The 22,780-nt window shown below is 44.6% G+C and overlaps 1 protein-coding gene and 1 long non-coding RNA gene across 7 annotated transcripts in view, besides 4 other annotated features; both read right to left on the reverse strand.

Annotated features, from left to right (window-relative positions):
- The window catches only part of CDC42EP3 (CDC42 effector protein 3), a 31,006-nt gene extending 19,398 nt beyond the window's left edge, over window positions 1-11,608 (reverse strand). Inside the window, exon 1 of one of the 6 annotated variants that reach the window (NM_001371569.1) lies at window positions 11,488-11,608. The gene's annotated coding sequence lies outside the window, so the exon portion shown is untranslated. Of the gene's footprint in view, window positions 1-10,084; window positions 10,302-10,719; window positions 10,879-11,011; window positions 11,115-11,487 lie in introns of those variants that run through there. The other 5 variants (NM_001270436.2, NM_001270438.2, NM_001270437.2 and 2 more) reach the window with 5 other exon arrangements.
- Window positions 10,090-10,579: a silencer, noted in NCBI's record as "silent region_11361". NCBI's record gives its function as "represses an Ori minimal core promoter by ATAC-STARR-seq in GM12878 lymphoblastoid cells {active_cell/tissue: GM12878}" and the evidence as "EXISTENCE:reporter gene assay evidence [ECO:0000049][PMID:35858748]".
- Window positions 10,750-10,809: a silencer, noted in NCBI's record as "silent region_11362". NCBI's record gives its function as "represses an Ori minimal core promoter by ATAC-STARR-seq in GM12878 lymphoblastoid cells {active_cell/tissue: GM12878}" and the evidence as "EXISTENCE:reporter gene assay evidence [ECO:0000049][PMID:35858748]".
- Window positions 10,820-10,889: a silencer, noted in NCBI's record as "silent region_11363". NCBI's record gives its function as "represses an Ori minimal core promoter by ATAC-STARR-seq in GM12878 lymphoblastoid cells {active_cell/tissue: GM12878}" and the evidence as "EXISTENCE:reporter gene assay evidence [ECO:0000049][PMID:35858748]".
- Window positions 11,110-11,279: a silencer, noted in NCBI's record as "silent region_11364". NCBI's record gives its function as "represses an Ori minimal core promoter by ATAC-STARR-seq in GM12878 lymphoblastoid cells {active_cell/tissue: GM12878}" and the evidence as "EXISTENCE:reporter gene assay evidence [ECO:0000049][PMID:35858748]".
- A 3,824-nt stretch (window positions 11,609-15,432) lies between the features above and the next one.
- LOC107985870 (uncharacterized) lies at window positions 15,433-22,359 on the reverse strand. Its single transcript, XR_001739410.2, has 3 exons — window positions 21,791-22,359; window positions 15,899-15,966; window positions 15,433-15,761 (listed from the first exon to the last, which is right to left on the reverse strand). It is a non-coding gene; the product is annotated as an uncharacterized LOC107985870 (long non-coding RNA).
- Between the last annotated feature and the right edge of the window lie 421 nt (window positions 22,360-22,780).

The raw sequence follows: 22,780 nt of genomic DNA on the forward strand, positions 1-22,780 counted from the left end.
GTCAATTACTTGTAATCTGCCAATTTTAGCCAAGCCTTAAAGGGATCTTATTAATAGGGCAAGTGACTTGGAAGACACAGGAGATGCACTTATCAAATCTAAAGATAAACAGGAGACGTAGAGGGAGCTTCATTGTGCCAGTGGCTAACTGGGGTCCAGAATTACCTGGACCGAGAGCCGGGGCTGGATGAAGCCCACAGGAATGAACTGAATGATGATGAATAGAAGTCCTGCTTTTGGGTTAACATTAATTATATAATCCCATTTGCGCAGAATGGTGCAGGCTCTGGCTGCTGGCGTTATAAACTGGACGGCAAGGCTACCGGGAGCTGACAGCACGAGGAGGTGGCTGAAAAAGTCATAGCCATCTGACGGACTCTGGACAGACCCCACCAGAATTAGTGATGTATGAGAGAAGAGAAAAAACAAAAGGGCATGTTGTTATTTTCTTAAATACGTGATAAGTAGGGCCAATCTCTCTCCTTTTTAACCAAAGAAATTATGTTATTATCTGTTTATATATCAGGCTTAAGATTTTCTTTTCCTTGGCTTAAAAAAAAGTTCGACAGAGCTGGGCCTAGGAGGAAGATTCATGCTCTGTGTCACTTAAACACTTAAGGCCTTGGTTTTATCATGTCAGAATGAGACTGGGGCTGAGATAAGGTCCCTTCCATCTGTCAAATGGTAGGGCTCTGTGATTCTATTTGCAGAAACATCTAGCGTCTAGGAAGTTTCCAAAAAAGAAAAAAAAAAAGTAATGTTTTTAAGGAAAGTAAGACTAGCCTTAGAATCAAAATACTTTTTACCAGCGAATACAATTTTCATCACCCTTTCCCATCCTTCCTGGTATTAAATTAAGGGTCCTGAGCCATGTAGTGACTCCCTTTGGGAGCTTCAGTGTCCCCATCTGTGAAGTGCAAATGGCAAAGGTGGGAGTCTTCCTGGGTAACAACGAGCATAAAGTGCTTGGCAAAGCACCTGGCAGGCAATGAGCCCATATCAATGGAAGGGGTAATGTTCATTATAAATTACCCCAAAAAGCTGGAGCTGCATAAGGAAGAAGATGAGCTGGAAGCTCATGGTGGGGATTCCTTTTAACCTTACTCCTTTTAGACCTTGGGATCTGGCCACCTAAACTGATTGTTTTAAATACAGTGTGAAAAACTCCCAAATGTTCTGGGTTCAATAGTCTAATTCCCCATTCTGAAAAAAGAACGGAATTTGAAAGAAGTCCCTGCTTTACTCCCTGCACCACCCTGAGAGACCTCTCTCTGAACCTCACTCCCCCAGGCTGGCAAGTAAAGCACCACCATCCCAGGGTGAGCCCACAAGGAATATAAAACAAATCCCCATCACCAGCATAAACTTACACTAAACTTAATAGAAGGCCAAAAATCAACACTCTTTAGGAAGACATTTCATTCTGAAGCCGTCTGAGAGCAAGAAAACAGGCTCTAGTTGGTGCTGCGACATGCACAGAGTGAGCCATGTGCCTCTCGCCAGTTCAACCCATGGGAAGCCAGCTTTAGAAAGCCTTTCACAGTCAGGTGCGGTGGCTCACACCTGTGATCCCAGCACTTTGGGAGGCCGAGGCGGGCGGATCGCCTGAGGTTAGGAGTTCGTGACCAGTCTGGCCAACACGGTGAAAGCCAGTCTCTACTAAAGATACAAAAATTAGCTGGGTGTGGTGGCGGGTGCCTGTAATCCCAGCTACTCATGAGGCTGAGGCAGGAGAATCTCTTGAACCCGGGAGGCAGAGGTTGTAGTAAGCCAAGACTGTGCCACTGCACTCTGGCCTGGGCAACTGAGTGAGTGAAACTCGGTCTCAAAAACAAAACAAAACAAAACAAAACAAAAAAAACAAACCAACCTTCCATGTGCCTCCCCAGCCCCTGGCTGGTCCCTCATGTGTTCAACAACAAACATCCATGGAGGGCCTACTAAGTGCCAGGCACTATTCTAGAAGTTGAGGCCGCAGCAATGATGCACTCCACTGTGGAGAGACTGACGCTAATATAACAAATAAATAAATGGCTCATGTTTATTTATTCGTTAATGGCTGGCGAGAGGTCTAGGCAGCAATAGGAAATACAAGGACCCTTACTCTGTGCTCTAAGTGGACACATGGGTGCCAAGTTGCCTCAGTCACTCCCAGGGCACGAGAAAGCATTGGTGGGGGTTGCCAATCTCTCCGCGGAGATCTTGAGAAGGTTCCAGCAGGGGCTTGACCTATTTCCACAGGGCCCGCAGATGATCTCTATCACCACAACCAAATGACTGGGGTGACTCCCCTTGCATTTGAATGTTCTGTAGCCTGGGAAGGAGTAACTTTACTACAGCAGGACTTAAAAATAAGCTAGTGTGGTGGTTAATACTGAGTGTCGACTTGATGGAAGGATGCAAAGTATTGTTCCTGGGTGTGTCTGTGAGGGTGTTGCCAAAGGAGATTAACATTTGAGTCGGTGAATTGGGAGACACAGACCCATCCTCAATCTGGGTGGGCACCATCTAATCAGCTGCCAGCGTGGCTAGGATAAAAGCAGGCAGAGGAGGCCGGGCGCGGTGGCTCATGCCTGTAATCCCAGCACTTTGGGAGGCTGAGGCGGGCAGATCATGAGATCAGGAGATGGAAACCATCCTGGCTAAGGCGGTGAAGCCCCGTCTCTATTAAACATACAAAAAATTAGCCGGTCGTTGTGGAGGGTGCCTGTAGTCCCAGCTACTTGGGAGGCTGAGGCAGGAGAATGGCGTGAACCTGGGAGGCGGAGCTTGCAGTGAGCCGAGACTGCGCCACTGCACTCCAGCCTGGGCGACAGAGTGAGACTCCATCTCAAAACAAAACAAAACAAAACAAGCAGGCAGAGGAACGTGGAAGGACTAGACTTTCTGAGTCTTCTGGCCTTCATTTTTCTCCCGTGCTGGATGCTTCCTGCCCTCACACATCAGACTCCAAGTTCTTCAGTTTTTGGACCTGGACTTACACCAGTGGTTTGCCAGAAGGCTCTCAGGCCTTTGGTCACAGACTGAAGGCTGCACTGTTGGCTTCCCTATTTTTGAGGTTTTGGGACTTGGACTAACTTCCTTGTTCCTCAGCTTGCAGACAGCCTATTATGGGATTTCACCTTATGATCATGTGAGTCAACACTCCTTAATAAACTCCCCTTTATATATACATCTATCCTGTTAGTCTTGTCCCTCTAGAGAACCCTGACTAATACAGCAAGTAAGCGACAAAGATTTCTGACCTGACAACAACTGAGGAGATATGCTACAGAAAGAATCAGATAGTATAGCAAGGGCTATACTGCCCACTTTGTCATTAAGTCCTACTGCAGCAAAGATGAATGACAAGATAAATGAGATTCAGTCCCTATCCTTGAGGAGCCGGTAGTCTAATTAGGCAGGCACTTGCGTCAATCAGGAACATGGATGGAGTTGGAGGCCATTAGTCTTAGCAAACTGACGCAGGAGCAGAAAACCAAATACCGCATGTGCTCACTTGTAAGTGGGAGCTAAATGAGAACAAATGGACACAAAGAGGGAAACAACAGACACTGGGGCCTAATTGAGGGGGAAGGGCGGGAGGAGGGAGAGGATCAGAAAGACTAATGATCAGGTACTATGCTTAGTACCTAGGTGATGAAATGATCTGTACATCAAAACCCCGTGACATGAGTTTACCTCCGTAACAAACCTGCACATGTAGCCCCGGACCTAAAAGTTAGGCCTATTACTGGATTTCACCTTATGATCATGTGAGTCAACATTCCTTAATAAACTCCCCTTTATATATATATAAAGATAACTTAAATGTAGTAAGTGTTACAATAGGAGAAGATACAAGACACTATGGAAATGCCTCTGATACAAGAAAAAAGAGGAACAGAATCACAGTTTAGGGCCAGGAGAGGGCCTGGGGAACATCCACACACTTCTCTGGCCTCCCTTCCCATCCCCACCCTCCCACTCTGCCATTTTTTTTCACAGGTGATGGGATGGAGCCTGCCCAGAGAAGGGGAAGGATTTGTTTTCTGACTAGCTGGTCAGCCAAAGGCTTAGAGCCTCATCTCCCGCTGTGTTAAAATCAATGTTTTAAGTCTGAACTGACCCTTGGCAAAACAAAAGTTTAAAAAATAAATAAAAAGGTTGAGAAATCAAACACATTCTGAATGGCAAAGCCACATTTCACCAAAAATGCCTCTGCTTGTTTTAAAAAATGTATGTAGCCTAAATGATTATGATGTATTTGGACAGAAAAGCTCTTTTTCAACTAAACTCATGACAACGATCTATCATTGGCATGATGTGTCTACAAATAGGACCTTCAGGTTGTCACCAGAACATGACGGATTCCCAAATGTGGAAGCTGTCTAAATAGAGGCCTGACTTGGAAGTTCCCTGCCTTCCACGCTTGCTCAGGCTGCTCTGCCAGAGATCTGCACGGGTCTGTTTTTCAACCCAGAGTCTTACATTATTAGTAGTAAGATAGCTATGCTAATAGGTGCCACTGATCCTGGCTCACTGTTCTGGAGCCAGAGATTATCTGAGATCATCTCTCACCAAATGCTACGTTTTAGGGATGAGAACAAGAAAACCCCAAGAGGTCAAGGTTATACAATTTGGGTCAGAGCTAAGACCAGAATTGGTATTTTTTTAATCTCTATTTCTACACACAGACACCCCTTTTGATTGCCCTCACTTAATTCTCCATTAGTTTTATCAGCGTTTGCCAGGATCTCCTGGTACATCCTCATCGCTCTCTTCCTGTAACGCCTGTGGTTCTCTAACTAAAATGTCCCTGGGTTGCTTCGGCTCTGTAGGACATACTGCGGTTATGTAGCTTCTGTTCTGTGTTTCCCAGAGTGTGTTTCCTGCCAGGCTGGTCCTGCAGCTGCTCAGTGGGCAAAACCATTTGAGAAACTCTGGACACGACCTCCCTGTGGAGATTCACTATATACACTGGCTTTTTAAATGTTCTGAGAAGTCCTGCAGAAAGGGACCTTCATCAAACTGGGGTCCCACAGAATACTTTTATGACATTCATGGCTCGAGGTACACTTTAGGCGGTACCCTGTTACCTAATTGCAGGTGTGTGATCTCTGCAACATGGTTTAACAAAGGGCCAAAGGCTAGAAGGCTAATAATAACTTTATCCAATATGGAAATAAAACCCAATCCACTGAAAATCCTTTTTAAAAAGTTTTAAATTTGGGATTCTAGAATTCTATTAATTCATGACTTAGGCAAGCAGTAAGGACTAAGCAAACACTAGTTTGGAACTCATCAGCTTTCACACAGTTTACTTGGCTATTTAGAAATAGTAATCTTTTAAATCTCAGCATCATGCTTTGTATTATAAAACTGTATGGTTAAAATTTGAAAACTGCTTTTCTACCAGAGGTACTGTCAAATTCAGTCCATCATCATGTGATTCTGATGAAACTTGGCACTGAAGTATATCAAGGAGAAAGCTTTTTTTTTTTTTTAAGGAAAGAAACACACCTGACTATTGCTTTAGAACTACATGGCTACTTATTCTGGTTTGTGGGGTATTGTTTTGTTTTGTAGCCTTTAAGAGGTGGGGACAGGAGAAGATTTCAAATGGAATTGGACAGCTCCAAGACTGTAACCATTGGCTTTGAGGCTACCTGAGTTACTTCGGACTGTCCTTTCCAGAACCCTGTTTCCATCTGAGAAGTCTCTGGAGCTGATCCCCACAGCTAATCACAAACCCAGAGCATCAAAGCAGTGGAGGCCAAGGCAGGCCCTGTGGGTTTTCCGGGGCAAGCAGTAAGGACAAGGTTTCAAAGGTTTCCTTGTTGTGTGTTTCTTATCTAGCAGGGCCCAGGGGATATGCTGAACTGTAACAGGGCTTGACTTCTGCCATGGACACAGCCCAGTGCCTTTCTGTTCACTTTACCTGTAGCTCCTCTTCTGCTGAGTTCTTGCAGCAACATCATCAACAAACATGGACTAAAACGTCCACTGAGTGCCGGGACTGAAGGCCCAGGTAGTGTGGTTCCTGCCTTCAAGGAGGGGATTGTCCACAGGTGGTTACTGGACTCTGCAACCCCGGGCTCCCCAGAATTTTGAAGCGAGCACACAGTCTATGCTAGAGCTTCACTTCATCCCCAGCCACCAGAAGTCCTTGTCCCTGGCTGTGGCTTGGCTTGCTTTCTCACCATATAGTCCCACATTTTCACCTAGTAAATCTCTTCGTTTATGGCATAAATTAAACTGCTTATGTTAACCCTAGCAGTGTTCATGCTAGATCCACTTTCATGCCACATATGTGGGATTGAATCATCTTTAATAATAAAATAATTTACATAGTGTTCCTCAAGGCTGGCAATTACTGTCATCTTCAACTGTGAGATACAGGGTGATATGAAATTATTTCCTTGCCAGAGGCCAAAAGTCATAACAAAAATCAGATTTAACAACTTCTCTGCCCCTCCTCCCCATTGGTGGGGGTGTGGTATTTAGTATAAGGTCAAAAAGACCTGAGTTCAAACCCTGCTTCTGCTATTTAGCTGTGTGACCTTGGCCACGTTACTAAACCTTTCTGAGCCTGTGTTCTCATCTGGAAAAGAAGAGCAATATAATAGTCTGCCTTATCCTCCACGGATATGTTCCAAGACCCCCAGTGGGTGCCTGAACCTTGGACAGTACTGAACCCCATATATACTATGTTGTTTTTTATACATACATACCTGTTATAAAGTTTAATTTGTAAAGTAGGCACAGTAAGAGATTAACAATAGAATAATTATAACAATGTAATAAAAATTACATGAATATGGTCTCTTTCTTTCTTAAAATGCCCCATATTCACCTATTTTCAGACCATGGTTGACTATGGGTAACTGAAACCCTGGAAAAGAAAACCACGGGTAATTGGGGACCACTGTACTATCTCTCTCAAAGAATAGTTATGAATATTACATGACAGAACCAGTATTAAGTACCTAGGAAAAAAACAAAAGCAACATTGAAAACCTCAACCTTTTATTGTGGCTACTCTGGGCCAGGCACTGTTCTGAGTACATAATCTTTTTTAACTCCTTTAATCCTCAGGGAAATAATATTATCTCCATTTTACAAAGGATAAACTGAGGTAAAGGTGAGGTAACTTGCCCAAAGTCACACAGGTGTTAAGTGCCAGAACTAGGACATGTGCCCAGGCAGCCTGACTCGGAGGCTTCAGAAGTTCAGTTTTTTTTCCCATCCCCTTAACCCAAAGAGCTGCTGACTTTCACATAGGATTAGCCACTCATGCCTGCACATATTGTGTTGTTAAACTGCACACGCATGTTTAGGTTTTGCTTACTGCACAACTTTGGGTAAGTTATATAACTGGTCTATCCTCAGTCTCTACACCAGCAAAATGGGGATACAACGGTTCTTTCATTAGATGATTGCTAGAAACAAGTAAGATAATCAAGACAAAAGGCTGAGAAGAGTGCTTGACACATAGGACGGGCTCCACTTAGGAAGTGCTTTTAACATCCAAAGTAATGAACAATGCAATATATTAGGAAAATTCTTGGTCTTCTATGGCTTGGTGAGGCACACAAGATTTTGTGGCTGGCTGAATCCAGTATTTTCAAATGGCTATCCTTGTTCTCTGGCAAACATACTGCATTTAAAAATAGATTTCTCATTCAATCAATGAAAAGAAATACAGGTTCACAGGATTCTGGTTAGTAAGAAATGAGACTGGGCCTAGATAAAATCTGACTGAAAGCAAGAATCTGAATAACAATAATAATAATAATAATACGATCAGAGCAGTCTTCTTGGAGGTTTTTAGGTTACGAATTATATTCCACCCACTGGATAAATGTTACAGTTAATGGTCAAAGAATTTGTGAAAAATCTATGGCCTGGCTAAAAAAAAAAAAAAAAAAAAATCTTTGGGTGATACAGGTGAAAGCAATTTTATCCCCAACACTGTTGAATACCAGGAACTTTATACATGAAAAAAGCACAGCTTTTGTGAGCATGTTGGACATAAAACAAAACACCACATTAAAGGAAAGGCTGGAGCGCAGACAGGGCAAATGAACTCATGTGAGCCCTTCTGCAATCACTGTTACGGCTTTGTATTTATTCATCTTGCACCGCACTTAAATGTGCAATAAAAAGCAAAAAGTGTGCAACACTTATTACTCTAGCTGCTTTTACTTGTTCCATAGAGATACGTGAAACAATTTCACTGCTCAGATTGAGGGAAAGAGGAGCTCATCTCATTTCAAGCCTGTAGCTGCTGCCACAGCCTCAGCACCATGTTCTAATCATAGAATTCATCATGTAAATCTCTAGCAGATGATGCCATTGGAAAACAGAAACTGCCATGGATCCAGAAATGCTTCCAAATTTCTCCTCTAAAGTTCTTATCTGTGAGCCCAGAGGCTGGTGCTGTTTTATTCAAATGGGTGAGGCCCATTGGGAAACCCGCATTCTTTGGGAGACTTTATGAAGAATTTCAACCATTCCTTGACTATAGAAAGGGCCTTTATCATTTATTTCACATATGAAAATGCTAAATATTTCACAACTACTCCAACTTATTTCTGAGTGTCTAAATCTATTCTGAAAAGGGTATGCATCACACACATACCTGTGTAGCTTATTAACTACCAATAAGAGCTCACACAAATTGCAGGGGGTATGAAAGAGTAGACTTCTGGAACTGTCCAGAAAAGAAGAGAAGGTACATTTCCTGGTTTTAAGATGAAAGAGCTTGTGTAAATTAGAACATTACAGGAGCCTTTTAAATTGTCTTAGGGATACCTTTGGGGCATCATCGCTGGTTCCTGGTGAGTCTTTTTTCTCCCTGTGATGTTAACAGGAAGTCCCTAAAACTGGCTTTGCTATTAAAATACAGACATCTGCTGCTCTCCTAATTTTTGTTCCTTTTAAAAGGCAGTACTCCCAAGAAACTCTTGGATATTGTGAGAATTAAGAGCTGGGAGATGGGGATGGAATCTTTGTCTCCCTAACACATTCATCAGTTCCCTCCCTAGAGCCCCCCTACAACCTCAGCACACAGCAGCAGCCCACTCCTCCAAATACGCCAGGGCTGGAAAGATTCATGTTGCAATACCCTCCTGACATTCCTCATTTTAATTCGCTCACTTTTTTTTTTTTTTTTTTTAAACAAAATGTAATTACTTGACTGTCAGCCTAGGCTGCACTCTGGGGCTTTTACTCCTTTCAACACAGCTGCGCTCCCGGCTTTGATGCTGCTGTCCACGCAGCTTGTCCCAGCCACAGCCTGGCTCTCAGTAATGTAACATTCAAGTGCATATTTATTTTTAAACTGACCTCTCCTAGACTGCACAGTATAAAGGAGATCCTGCCCAAAAATATGCTACTTTCTATTTATAAGATGAAACACATGCCTCCCAAAGTCGAGAGAGGGATAGAGTATAATAATTCATAACGAAAAAATGGCCAGATCCATTCATCCTCACATGTCTGATACTTGTCTGTGTCAAGCCACTTAGTTTCAAGGAGAAAGGGAAGAAAACAAAAAACAAAAAACCTTGTAAACGTCTCAGCTGTTCACCGTCAAAAAACAAAAAAGTCAATATCCAGATCTGCAGGTTGGCGCCCCACTAACAATGTCCTCCATTAAGAAAGAGGAGGGCACCGGGCAGGCGATGCCACGGCAGAGCTGTGCGATGCACCCATGTGCGGCCCTGGTACCAATCCATGATGCGAGGGGCGCGGTAGCCAAGCGCGGCTTGTTCTCAGATGGAAAAATGCTATACGCGCCCAGAATGGCTCTGCCAATAGCTCGGAGGGTGCAATGTGGCCGCGCAGCCCCACCCTGAAAAGTAGTGGGCACAAATGGTGGAGCTCTGAGTCCTGGTCGTGCCGCCGGACCCCCTCCTGGCTTGCTTTATGTCCCCTTCGTTCCGTTGGACACTAGATGGGAAAGCGATGCCCTGGGTATCCCGACTCCCTGCTGGTTTCCCAGCCTAACACCAGCGCACGCCGGAAGCGGCCACGGCCGCGGGCGGGACAGACTCACAGACAGGTAGAGAGGAAGGAGCCCTGGGCTGCCCCGACTCACCGGCCGCCGCTGAGGATCCCAGCCGCTGCCCCGGGCCTCCCGCGGGCGCACGCAATCCCTGCCGCTGTGCGCAGATCCAGCCGAGTCTGCCGGCGTGGTGCCTGCTCACCGCATTATCCGCTCCGAGACGGCGTGAAGGCGCCCCAGGCCGGTGGCCGGGTCTCCGGGCTAGCCCCGCGCTGCGGTCCCCCGGCCGCGAGAGAAGGTGCGCGCGACTGAGCGCGGGGCGGCCGGACGCGAGGACTGAACCTGCGGAGGGCGGGGCGGCGCGGGGCGGGGCCGGCGGCGCGGGGACTCACTGGGGCGGGGCGGAGGGCGCGGGCAGCGGGGCCGACCCTCCCAGCCGCGGTACCTGTGCCCTGGCCCGGGGCCAACCGGTGGCCGGGCGCGCGCGCGGGGGGGGGTCACCGTTGGACCCTCGGAGGACAATGGGCGCCCATTGTTACCTCCCCAGCGCCACCCCCCAGTAGGCGACTTCTCTCGGAGAAGATGCCGCTTTCGACTCCCTAAGCACAAAGAAAGGTCGCCGGACGCTCGGTTTAAAGAGGGACCCGGAGGTGCTGCCGCCCGGGTGCACGGGGACAATAGGACTCCGCCCGCACCCCGGACTCCCGCACTAAAACTCGTGCGCCCACCTCTCCCGATCCCAACAGGCCGACCTAGCTGTGCGAGTGGCGGGCGGTGACCCGCAGGGAAGCGAGGCCACCTGAGTGCGCCGCCCCGGCCAGGCCGCAGCTCCCCAGGTCCCTCTCAGCCCGGGCTCCGGTGGGCGCGGAGGGGGAGGGTCGCGTTCTGTCAGTTTCTAGCTCGCTCCCCTCAGAGCTGCAGCCAAAACCCGGAGAGTGGAATAAGCGCCCTGAAGATGCCGGAGCTCCCGGCTGAGCAACTGGACACGCGACGAACAGCAGACGCTACAGGTTCTCCTACCCAGAGGGAGGCGTTTCTTCTCCCTCAGGGTCTTTCAAAAGGATTTGCCTAAAGCTGGGGCAAGCCGGTGGCGGCTGCCCCAGACGCGCGACGAGGCGCAAGTGGCGCAGCTGCCGGCCCGAGAGAGTAAAATTCAGGCCGCGGTGGCACCTGCGCCCGCCGGTCACCCGGCCACCGCCAGCGCCGCCGCCCGGCGCGCCCCTCCCCTCCGCCGGGGCCGGAGCGTGAACCGGGTTAATGAATGCTAATTTTCTTAATCGGCCTCCGTCTCTTCCTCCTCCGCGAGTCGTCGGCCTGGGGAAGGAGTAGGCGACAGGAAAGGGCGGTGTTTTCCGGCTGGGAGGTCCCAGCCCGCATGGTCAGCCAGGGGAGGGGGCTGGGACCCCTGGGAGTCGGACGCTGGGGGCCTGGCCTCTGCCCTGAGACTCTCGGGTTGGATGGAAATCCTGGCACAACGCGGAGAACCTCCCGGATACCTTGGCTTTGCCGAGAGATATCAGCTTCAGGTCATCACCGCGGTGCCCTGGGTCTGTCTGAAACCTTAGAGGGTGCGCCTTAAGCCGATGTTGTAAACCCAGGCTGACTTTAAGGTGAAGTGAAAAGGAAACGCACACAATCTGGAAAGCAAAATACTTGGGTGGGGTGTTAAAAGCCTCAAAGAAAAATAGTAGTTGGCAGGTCAAATGGCCATGAGGTTGGAAGTCAAATACGAAACTCGGCTGAAGTGATGTTAGAAGTTTGACAAGCAAAAACAGTCCGTGAAGATAAGAGACCCAGCATTGTTTCCCTTCTTCAAAAGACAACTCGTCCAAAGTTTCCTTTGGCAGATACCTGGATTCTACTCCAGATTCCTGAGCATTTTACTTGGGTTTCATATTTCAAAATATATGTTCCATTTGGCACTAATGTATATATTTTATATATTAATTTATTGAAAAATATTAAATGTTCCTGGCCTACTTAGAAAAAGGTATTTTTATAAATATTTATGCATAGTTTTCATTACATAGGGTATTTTATAAGTCCAAATAATATGTGTATATATATAAAATACCACATGCAAAATTCCTTTTGAACACATAAAGACATTCCCGACACACATGTCTTGTATGTAATTTTTTTCACGTGATCTATTGTTAGCTGCTGTTAAAAGCACTTTATTTCTACATGGCCAAATAAATAACTTCTTTTACAGTTTTTGCAAATATAGAGTGGCAGTTTGTCTGAAACGGCATTTTTATTCTAAAACCTATTTTTACTTTTCTACATTATCCCTTGCCTTTTAGAGGCTTTCTCTCCCTCTGCCGTTTTTAAATGAGACTTCACTGCTGGACTCTAAACAGTTATCCAGGACCTGCTCATTCAAGGGCCTGGTGGTTTGATTTATCTTGGCTCCTTTGGCCTCGCCTCCCCACCCCTCCCCTGCCCTCCCCTCCCCACCCCTCCGCTTCCCTCCCCTCCCCTTCCCTTCCTTTCCTTTTTTTTTTTTTTCCCCCAGGGTCTCAAACTCCTGGCCTCAAGTGATCCTTCTGCCTCAGCCTCCGAAAGTGCTGGGATTACAGGCATGAGCCACCATGCCCTGTGCCTCACGTTATTTCTTTGTACTGAACATCTTCAGTGAGTAACTGATCCCTCATATAGTGAATTATTCTTCCAAATGAGTGCATTTCCTGTGCTAACTATGATAGCTTGTAGAGTTGATGGATTTAGGTTTCAACATGTTATGGGAGTCTACTACCGGAAGAGAGGAAAAAGCTTTGCTTCAGGAAGATTTTAGGAGTTTTGAGATTCTGCTGTGAATTTTGGAAAGGTTTAGCCTTAAAAACATTTGGTGGTAACCTTAGAAGCCTGGTATCTGTAGACCACCTGTCAGGCCCAACAGTGGGCTGTTTTTCTATTAGTCCCTACTTGGGAGAAAAGCCAAGTAGTATTGTCAGTGCCCTTGCTGTCCAGAAACCTGTGATCTACCTAAGTGCAGAGAGCACCTTGCCAGTGTACACAAGCAAATGCTGACCACATTCTAGTCTCTTGCTACCAAGTATGGTCCCAGGACCAGCAGCACCAAGCCTCACTCCAGGGCTACCAAGTTGGAATCTTCAGTCTAATGAAATGTGGATAGTTTGCGTGCAGATTTAATGTTTGAGAAGCACCGTCCATGAGTGCTTGGTGGTTCTCCACCTTTCAAAGCTACAAACTCATTTGAAAATCTCATGGGATTTATGAGCACCCTTGGAAAAGCATATTGATTGATACACAAAATTTTTCATATGCAGTTTCAGAGTTCCTGTAAATAATCTATTGATGCCAGGGAAGTCCTAGGTTAAGACCCCCTAGTCACAAAGAAGATTGACTCAGTGTCAGCTGGAGGAGTTAAGAGAAGATTCTCACAGGGGGCAGAGCTTAAATTAAACCTGGGGAATTTGATAGGAAGAGGAGTAAAGAAGAGCATTTCAAGCTGTTGAAATGCAAAGGTCCTGAGAGGGAAAAAGAGAATGTCCTTTTTTGTATGTGTTCATGTGAAACTTAATGAGGAGATTGTTGTTTGACAGCAGGCTTTCCTTGCAATTCCTTATCATCACTTGAACGTCCAGAAAATGAAGCCAGACTGTGGACTCAGTAGTCATTCCACTTTGGGTGTGCAAGAACCCTATGACATGGGGGTTTCACATAAGATCTCATTTCCTACTACTTTGCTCACCTCTCACTCTGCCCCAGCCACATTGGCCTTCAGGCTGTTCCAGGCACTCCCGACAACAGAGCCTGGCCCACTCTTGTCTGTGTGGGGATTCTTCCCCAAATCAGCAAAAGGCTCATTAAGATCTTTATTCAAATGAGACTTCAAGGGAGAGGCTTTCTTTCTAAAATAGCAGCCCCTCCCACACTCCCTTTCCCTAAATAAAACAGGAAGAACAATTGCTTCACTACTTGCGTTATATTTATTTACAAATTCATTTATGGCCTGTTTCCTTAAATGTATGAACTTTATTTGCTGCTGTATCTCCTGTGCCTAGAATAGGGCCTGGCATATAGTAGGTACTCAATAAATGTTTATTGAATAAATGATCTTTTAACTACAACCAGTAATGAGTGTAAAAGCCATGTTTACAACTCTATAGCTACGAAATCATAATATATGAAACATTCTTGGAATATACCACATGTTTGCTGAGACTGAATTTTCAACCACTTCTCTTTAGTCTAATGAAACAAGAAACACTAAACACATGGAACATTTTAAGTTTGAAAATTCAAACATTTTAAAGTAAGACTTACAAAAAATGTCTGTATAGTCCATGTATAATGCACAACTATTTTTCTTCTGGCAAAGCTGAGACACATTCATGTGTACTCAGCTGGGGTTTTCTTCCAAAATGCCACATCCAGGCTGAATTCATGTGTGTATGGTCTGGATTATCCCCCTAAGTTAGATTTAAGGAAAATGTAGGAGAAGCTGGAAGGTTAGAACATTTTGAATGAGAATTTCCTTAAAGCTTGAGTATTCTCCTCCTTACTACCCAATTAAAATTTCACCAGTCCTGGAAATATGTCAACCTCTGCTAATGAACTTGATTGACTAATTGCCAAGGCTAAGGAATTTTCTAACCAGTGATTTCCTTGTAAATAAAGAAATTTAGGTCACATCTTGGTTGGGAGATTTCAGCTTTGCCTAATCAAATGCAGCAGGAAATGGTATACTATGAGATATACTATGAGAGGCTATGTTTGCATGAGGACTACAGGCCTAGGGTACAGTTCTAAGCAGGTTACACGGTCACTCACCATAACCACCAAATACGTTTTTGGCATTTGTATTAGCTCTTGAACTTGGGCCAGCACCAATTTAATTTGTGCATAAGACCTTCAAATATAGATGCATACTTGATCCTGTTAGTGTAAACCAGTGACTAATAAAGAGCATTACTGTATATTTATATAGCCTTCTATACTTCTAAAAACACTTTTTCATTTCATCTTCATTTTAGGTCGTTCTGTTCTTGCTGGGTAGGTAAGGCATTTATGGTTGATTTACACATTTCTTCTTTCCAGAAGGGATTTGAGGCAAAGTAGAAGGCTTTTGTATAGAATGAGTCATTCCTTTTTTTTCCAGCTTTACTGAGGTATAATTGATTGAGTCATGCCTATTGTACTCTTTGTTATGTGTTCTTTCCCCACATACCTGTATGTCTCCCTCCTTAGCTTTCTTCCCATGTCTGCTTAAATCTGAACTCCCAGAGGCCTGCCTTCCAAGACATCCTAGATAAAGTATCACCCATGGCCTTCCTTATCCCAGTACCCCCTTTATTCTTCTACATAGCACTTAACACCTGACATGTTGATTGTATATTTATTTGTTTATTGCCTCCCTGCTCCCCATACCACTAGAATATAAACTCCATGAGGGGCAGAAATATTGCCTATTTTATTCATGGCTGTATCCCAACCCCGTGATCAGTGCTTGGCACATAGTAGAGATTTAATAAATATTTGTTGAATGAATAAATGAATGAAGCCCCAGTGCTTAGGGCAGGCGCCTGTCATGTGATAAATATTTGTTGAATTAAACAAAGCTTTAATGAATGAGCTAGAGAAAGGTCTGTGATTCATTCAAGGTTATGCAGACAGTGATAACTTGCTTTATCTAGATGCGAATCCCCGCTAATTCTTTCTCCAAGCCTTCTTCATTTGTATACCTCGTAGCAAATCCAGCCTGTTGTAATGTCAGAATGTCTTTGTTCATCCTTTTTGGTACCTGACAAAAATTGAACATTATAGAGCTTTGATAGTGATTACAGGATGAGCAAGAAAAAATGACTATTTCAGTTAATGCTCTGGGTTAGTGAGACACAATAAAAAAGAGAGAGGTCGGTTGGCCGCGGTGGCTCATACCTGTAATCCCAGCACTTTCGGAGGTGGAGGCAGGTAGATCACAAGGCCAAGATGGTGCAACCCTGTCCCTACCAAAAATACAAAAAAATTAGCCAGGTGCAGTGGCAGTCACCTGTAATCACAGCTACTCGGGAGGCTGAGGCAGAGAATTGCTTGAACCCAGGAGGCAGAGGTTGCAGTGAGCCAAGATCGTGCCACTGCACTCCAGCCTGGGCGACAGAGCGAGCCTCCATCTCAAAAAAAAAAAAAAAAAAAGAGAGAGAGGTCTGCAATGATACCGCCCCCAACTTCTGCTTCCCTGCATGCATTCATGCACATGGATAGAAGAACACATACTCCTACACCATCCCCCAAAACACACACCTACACCTAGCAGTGTGCACCAAGGACAGATCATCTTCTGAGGGTTAATTACAGATCACTTCATTTGGACTCCCATAAAGGGAACCAGGAAATGTGCAGTAGAGGACACCCAGGATTGTTCTTGCATTTACTTCACAAACAGCAACCCATAGGGATATATGTAAACCGCATCAGACAATTGTCTCTTCCTCCTTTTAGGGCCCCAAGGTGGCTTGCACTTAGGGACAGCATCCTTCCCTGTGGCTCATGTTTCTGATGTGCTGGGCTCTTCAACCTGGTACTGTGGATGCTCTGAAGGCCCCTTCTTGGCCATGCCTGATTTTCAGAAATGTTCACCTGGTCGTCAACACTGCAGAAACAATGGTCGTGGTGTCTTCCTCAACAAAGATAACAGATAGATGCGGGGCCTTGAGAGTACTTGGAACTCCCTGGCTACTGACTGAACAGGTTGGAGCCAGAGGGGAGGGGAGCCATTTTACACATTTAAGGCGTGTTTATTGGGTGTCTACTTTGTGCCAAGGAATTGGGCCAACAGTGCTGGCACTCTCCTTGGGCTGACCTATATTCCTCTTATTTTTCAAACCAGTGGACTCGATGTGGAAACTATGTTGTCGAAACCCTCCATCTGAACATTCCAGAGACATCTAGATGCCCCTGACTGTAATCAGATCACTTGTCTGAGCATCAGGACATGCACACATGCAAGAGTCAACACTTGGTAATCCCGTGCTTTGCACTTTTGTCTGGAAATGCTATTATACTGACACAAGTGAGCACTGAATGCTGAGCTGCTTCTTCCAAGGTAGTCATCTCCTCTGTGGCACTATATTAAAATCTTTGTGCCTAAGAGTGGTCTAGGACTTCCTTTTTGGTTTGTAAAGTCTTATCTTTAAATTGTTTCTAATTATGGACTTGCCTAGAAAACAAAGGTAAGAATTTGCACGTTCATGCCATTATATTATAGCCCTTAGAACCCGCTGCACAGCTCTGTTTGCTAGTGAATATGACCTAACACTCTTATTGTCATTCAACTTATATTTATTGAACACCAGAGTGTAAGGCATTGTGACAGGTACTCTAAAAGGTACAAAGATGAATATGCTTCCTACACCTAAGTAGGTTAAACTTGTACAGATGATAAAACGAGCACCCAAGTCACTATAATACCAGATAATATATAATAAATAATAAATGTTATCAATTCCATGTTTTCCAAATGCCAAATAGGGATGCATATTCTGATACGTTATCTGACAATGGGACAATATGTATTGCAATTGGGATTATCTGGGATGTGTGGCCCACTAATACTGATATTTCACTATACACTGGTGGTTTTGAAGTTTTCTCCCTTTTGAATGGAATTGTAAGCAAGACCTCAATGCTTATTACAGGTGAACGTGCAGCTGCTCTGGTTGAGCTATAATGAGTGAGAAGTCCTTCTCTCTTCGTCCCCCACCCCCATTCTCTCGCCAAGGGGTTCTTGAAACTCCTTCTTGATTCTCACTGGCTCTCTTATGGGCTGAATATTTGTATCTCCCTAAAGTTCCTATGTTGAAATCCTAACCCCTGAAGTGATGGTATTAGGAGGAGAGGCCTTCAGCAGGTGATTAGGTTGGAGCACTCATGAACAGGATTGGTGCCCTTATAAAAGAGACCTTAGAGAGTTCCCTTGCTGTTTCTGCCAGGTGAGGACATAGCAAGAAGGGTTACCTAGGAACCAGGAAGCAGACCCTCATCTGACACCAATCTTGGCCTTGATCCTGGACTTCCCAGCCTCTAGAACTGTGAGATAAATATTTGTTCTTTAAGCCACCCAGTTTATGGTGTTTCTGTTGAACTAGCTTAAACAAACTAAGACTCCAAGAAACAGCTGAAACCACAGAGAGATGATCAGTAAATAGAATACTTCTGGTTAGAGTAACCAGGATGGCCTGATTAACATGGGCTGATTACTGGGCTTTCCATTGTATAGGGCTGGGGCATGTGGTCTGAGTGCACCTGTTTGTGGTACAGATCTTTAAGACTCAGGTAAATGGCCTCCATAGAGGATGTCAGTGAGGATCCAGGACTTGACTGGTGAGTTTCACGGCCTGTGTGGTTTTCAGATAAAGTGGTGAAGGATCCGAGGCTCATTTCCAGCCTCCTGTGCCTTCCTCTTCCTGAGTCCTCCTCTTTCTTCTCTCCACTATAGATGGCTTCCCGCCATCTGTTTCTCAGCCCAAAGCCCTGGCTCCTCTGGATATTTGTCTTTTGCCAGCAGCAGTACTCATAGTGGAGCCTAACATTTCTTCCTTTAGCAATGGATCCCAGAAGTACACACCCTGGGCAATGCAATGTTGGATGAATAGTGCCATCCCCAAGGAGGCAACGCTTGGTTTGCTTCCAAAGAGGGCTGGCTTGGGAGGCATGAACTCCACAGCCATACACCAATAAACTAGAACCCTAGTCCTTTAGTGTAGCATTCTGGCTAATCAAAGTTTTATACCATCTTGGAGCAGAGTTAACAAGCTTCACACATTGCTTGGGAGGGAGGCTGCGTACTTTGAGGTTCATGCTGTCCTGAAATCTCCAAATGTTGGGATTATGATGGAGGCATGATGAAGTCTTAGACACCATTCTCTTTTTTAATTGATTTATTATTCCTTGTCAATGACCTAGCTCACTATAAAGGAAAGCAGGGCTTACCGAAACCCCAAAGATGGAAGCCATACCCATATTTTTAAAAATATGAGGGCTGTGCAGAAAATTCAATTAAAAATTGTATTTTTGAGGGGTTTCCTTTTAAGTAAACTATATATGTTTTTAGAGCAGTTTTAGAGTCATGGCAAAATTAAGCGGAAAGAACAGAGAGTTTCCATAATCTTCCCACTCGCACATAGGCACACCCTCCCCGCTATAAAGTCCTACAACAGGGTGGTGCCTTTGTTACAACTGATGAATCTACATTAACACATCATTATCCCCCAAAGTCCATCACTTCCATTAGGTTTCATTCGTTATGTTGTGCATTCTATGCATTTTGTCAAATGTAAAATCATATGTATCCACCATTGTAGCGTCAGAACAATTCTATTGCCCCGAAAATCCTCTGTGCTCCATTTATTCATTCCTCCCTTCCTTCCCCAATTCCACCCCAGTGACCCTGGCAATCACTCATGTTTTTTACTGTCTCCATAGTTTTGACTTATCCAGTATGTCATATAGTTGGAATCATACAGTATGTAGCCTTTTCAGATTGGTTTCTTTTACTTAACAATATGCACTTAAGGTTCCTCCATATCTTTTCATGGTTTGATAACTCATTTCTTTTTAGCATTGAATAATATCCATCCATCGTATGGAGGTACCACAGTTTTTTATTTGTTCAAGTATTGAATATTTGTTAAATTCTTACTCCGAATGAGGTATTAAACTATATGCCATTGGGAGACATAATAATATAAGACACTATTTATAAAACAAGGCATTGTTCTGTCATACAAGGAACTTATACACCTCTAGGCCTTTGTTAAGTGGTGGAGTGGAGAAATGGGGTCTCAAGGAAGGAGAAATTCCAGCTGGCTGAGTTTCATGCTTCCTGAAGGGAAGTGCATCTGAGGAGGGATGTGGATGGGTAGGATTCCAACACTGCATGGGCTGTGTCTCCCCCAGCAAATTCATATGTTGAAGTCCTAACTACCAGTACCTTAAAATGACTGTATTTGGAGATACGGCCTTTAAAGAGATTCAAGGTTAAATGAGGTCAGATAGGTGGACCGTGATCCAATGTGACTGGTGTCCTTACAAGAAGAGGAGATTTGGACACACACACACAGACTCCAGGGGTATGTGTGAGGCGCACAGCGAGAAGATGGTTGTCTACAAGCAAGGAGAGAAGACCCAGGAGAAGCCAGTGCTGCTGGCATTTTGATCTTGGACTTCCAGCCTCCAGAACTATGAGGAAAGAAATTGCTGCTGTTTAAGCAACCCAGCGAAATAGCTAGTGGTATTTCATTTTTTCTTTCTTTTTCCTAATTGTAGACTCATAGCAAATAGTGATATTTTGTTAGGGCAGCCCTAGCAAATGAATAAAATTGTGAAGACAAGGAGGAGAATGATGCAACAGTGAGAAGGGCATGAAGAATGTTCAGAGGCTGGAACACATGCCTGTGTTCAAGATGGAGCCTGGGTTGGCTGGTAGTTTGGGACTATTTCACCAGGCTGTTGTTGGCCTTGGGGAGGGCAGCAGAGGTGAGTCCATGAGGGTGCTGGGATGGAATGACCTCTAGGATTGCCCTTGTGAGTTCGGTCAGCCTTGGAAGTGGTGGCTTGGTAACAGGAGATGTTTGTATTTTGCATGTTTTCAAGTCAATGAAAGTCAGTCTTTAAAATGCCTTGGCTCGCTTCTGTTTTATTCCTGGTGTCAGTATACAATGGTTTTAGTACGGTAAGTTTGCAACACTAAAGGACATATTTTGTCAGAGAAACCAGCTAAAAATATTTCAAGATGTTTCTCAGCGCCAAGTGAGCTCCTTGCCATCCTTGGCTTTCCTTCTCCTGTATTTCTGAACCTCAAAGCAAAATGGTTATTTAAAATAGAGGTGCAGATGTATCTGATCAATTAAAAGAATGTCAGTGCTTAATGAGATCTTAGAGGTCGTCTAGTCCTGCCTTCTCATTTTACAGCAGAGGAAACAGAGACTAAAGAAAATTAGTGATTTTCTCAAGATCATCTGATCATTAGTTAGCAGTAGAGGCTCCTAGTGTAGACAGGTTGTTTTGCTAAATAATTTTGTTTCTATATAAAAAAGGAGGTTCATCCTTGCAAGGGTTAGGATGGGAAAGTGCTCTGAGTTATGTCTGCGGGAGTCTCATGGAATCCAAATGAAAAGTACATGCTCTGGTGTCAGGCACCCGGATTCAGACCCCTGCTGTCCATCAGCTAGCCCTGTGATCTTGGGTCATTACTTAAGCTCACTAAACCTGAGTTCTTATTTGTAAGAATGGTGGTAGTATGGGCAGGTTGTCACAGAACCCACCTTAAGTGTGATGTGAAGATTAAGTGAAACTGAAACAATTCTTACCGATGTGACTGACACATTATCAGGCCTCAAAACATATGCTCTTATCTATTCTTCCCACCACACAAGGATACCATATTTCTCTCTGTCCCAGGGCCCTGGCACAATTCCTGTTCCAGTCTGTGTGCGACAAATATGTGTTAGATGACTGAAGCATCAGGAGTGGCCTAGAGGGAAGGATAGCACACGACATTGGGAATGAAAAAGGAAGCAGAATACAAGATGATATACGGATAAGGGAGATGTGTAAATATTTAGATTCTCAGGCAAGTGGAAAGATGTGAGAAGTGTTAAAGAGCAATGAAAGTAAAAGATGAATTCTCCACCTCCAGGGGGTGATCACAGGGGGTCAGACAACAGGCGTACTTGACATGCTTTGCAAACATGAAGTGTCAAACAGGTGTATAGTAGCCATCAATACCAGAAGCAAACACACCTTAGTAAAATTTCAAGAAGACAATGTTACCTCAAGCATCTGGAGAAGCTTATACTGCTCAGATCTCAGGAACCAGGGAGGTCACGGGGGAAAAGACCAAGGACAGTCGCAGGCAGCTTCAGCAAAAGTAGACCCAACAATAAAAATGATGTAAGAAGTGTATTAAGTATGTCTTTTTATTCTGATTCTTCAACATCTTGGAGTCTAGCTGACGTTGAAAGGAACTGCCCCTCCCAGGGTTATGAAATTCCTAGAGATAGCAACTTGCCTGGGAGCCTATCTTTCATACGCAAACCAGCCAATCCAAAGCCCACACTTCTACCACCTCCTTTATCTGGCTCTTATATGCAGACCCACTATCCCACTGTCCTAATCACCCTAGGCCATGACAGGATACCAGATGACTAGAGACAGCCCCTATGCCCCAGATCCTGCTGGAATTATTCAAACTAGCCAATCCTAAACCTGCTTACTCTGCCTTTCCCTTCTCAATAAAGGTTCTTGTCCACGATCCCCCCTCACTCCTTCTTTCTCTTGACTCACCCTTCTCCATGTTGCCCTACCTAGGGTGCTCCTGTTATTAGGTATCTGTAAGTATAAAAACTTATTCCTTCATGACTGTCTTTTCTGCATGTCTTACCATACCTGATTAAAACAAATCCCAGGTACTCTTATATTAATAAAAAGGAGCCATCAGGGTTTCTAGGATCATCTCCTCTATCCAGATGACAGCCCTCTCTTCTCTTTTTGGACATGTTTTTCATTTTGGTTTGGAAAGGATAATGTCTTCTGTGTTCTGAGAAGTTACTTTTTGCATTTCTCTCCTCTCTTTCTCATTTATTTTATGTAAAGCCTTATTAGCTCCCACAACTTTGTTTGCTCTCTTACTTGATAATGGAGAACATAAGAGCTAAAGTCAAGTGGAGGAAACAAGTTGGTGGTTTCTACATCCTGCTTCTTATAGGACCCGGAAGAGGAGCACCTCTTCTATAGCCTGAGCTATCTCAACAGTGTTCTCTA

Source organism: Homo sapiens, chromosome 2 (assembly GCF_000001405.40).
Source record: "Homo sapiens chromosome 2, GRCh38.p14 Primary Assembly".
Classification (NCBI taxonomy): Eukaryota; Metazoa; Chordata; class Mammalia; order Primates; family Hominidae; genus Homo; species Homo sapiens.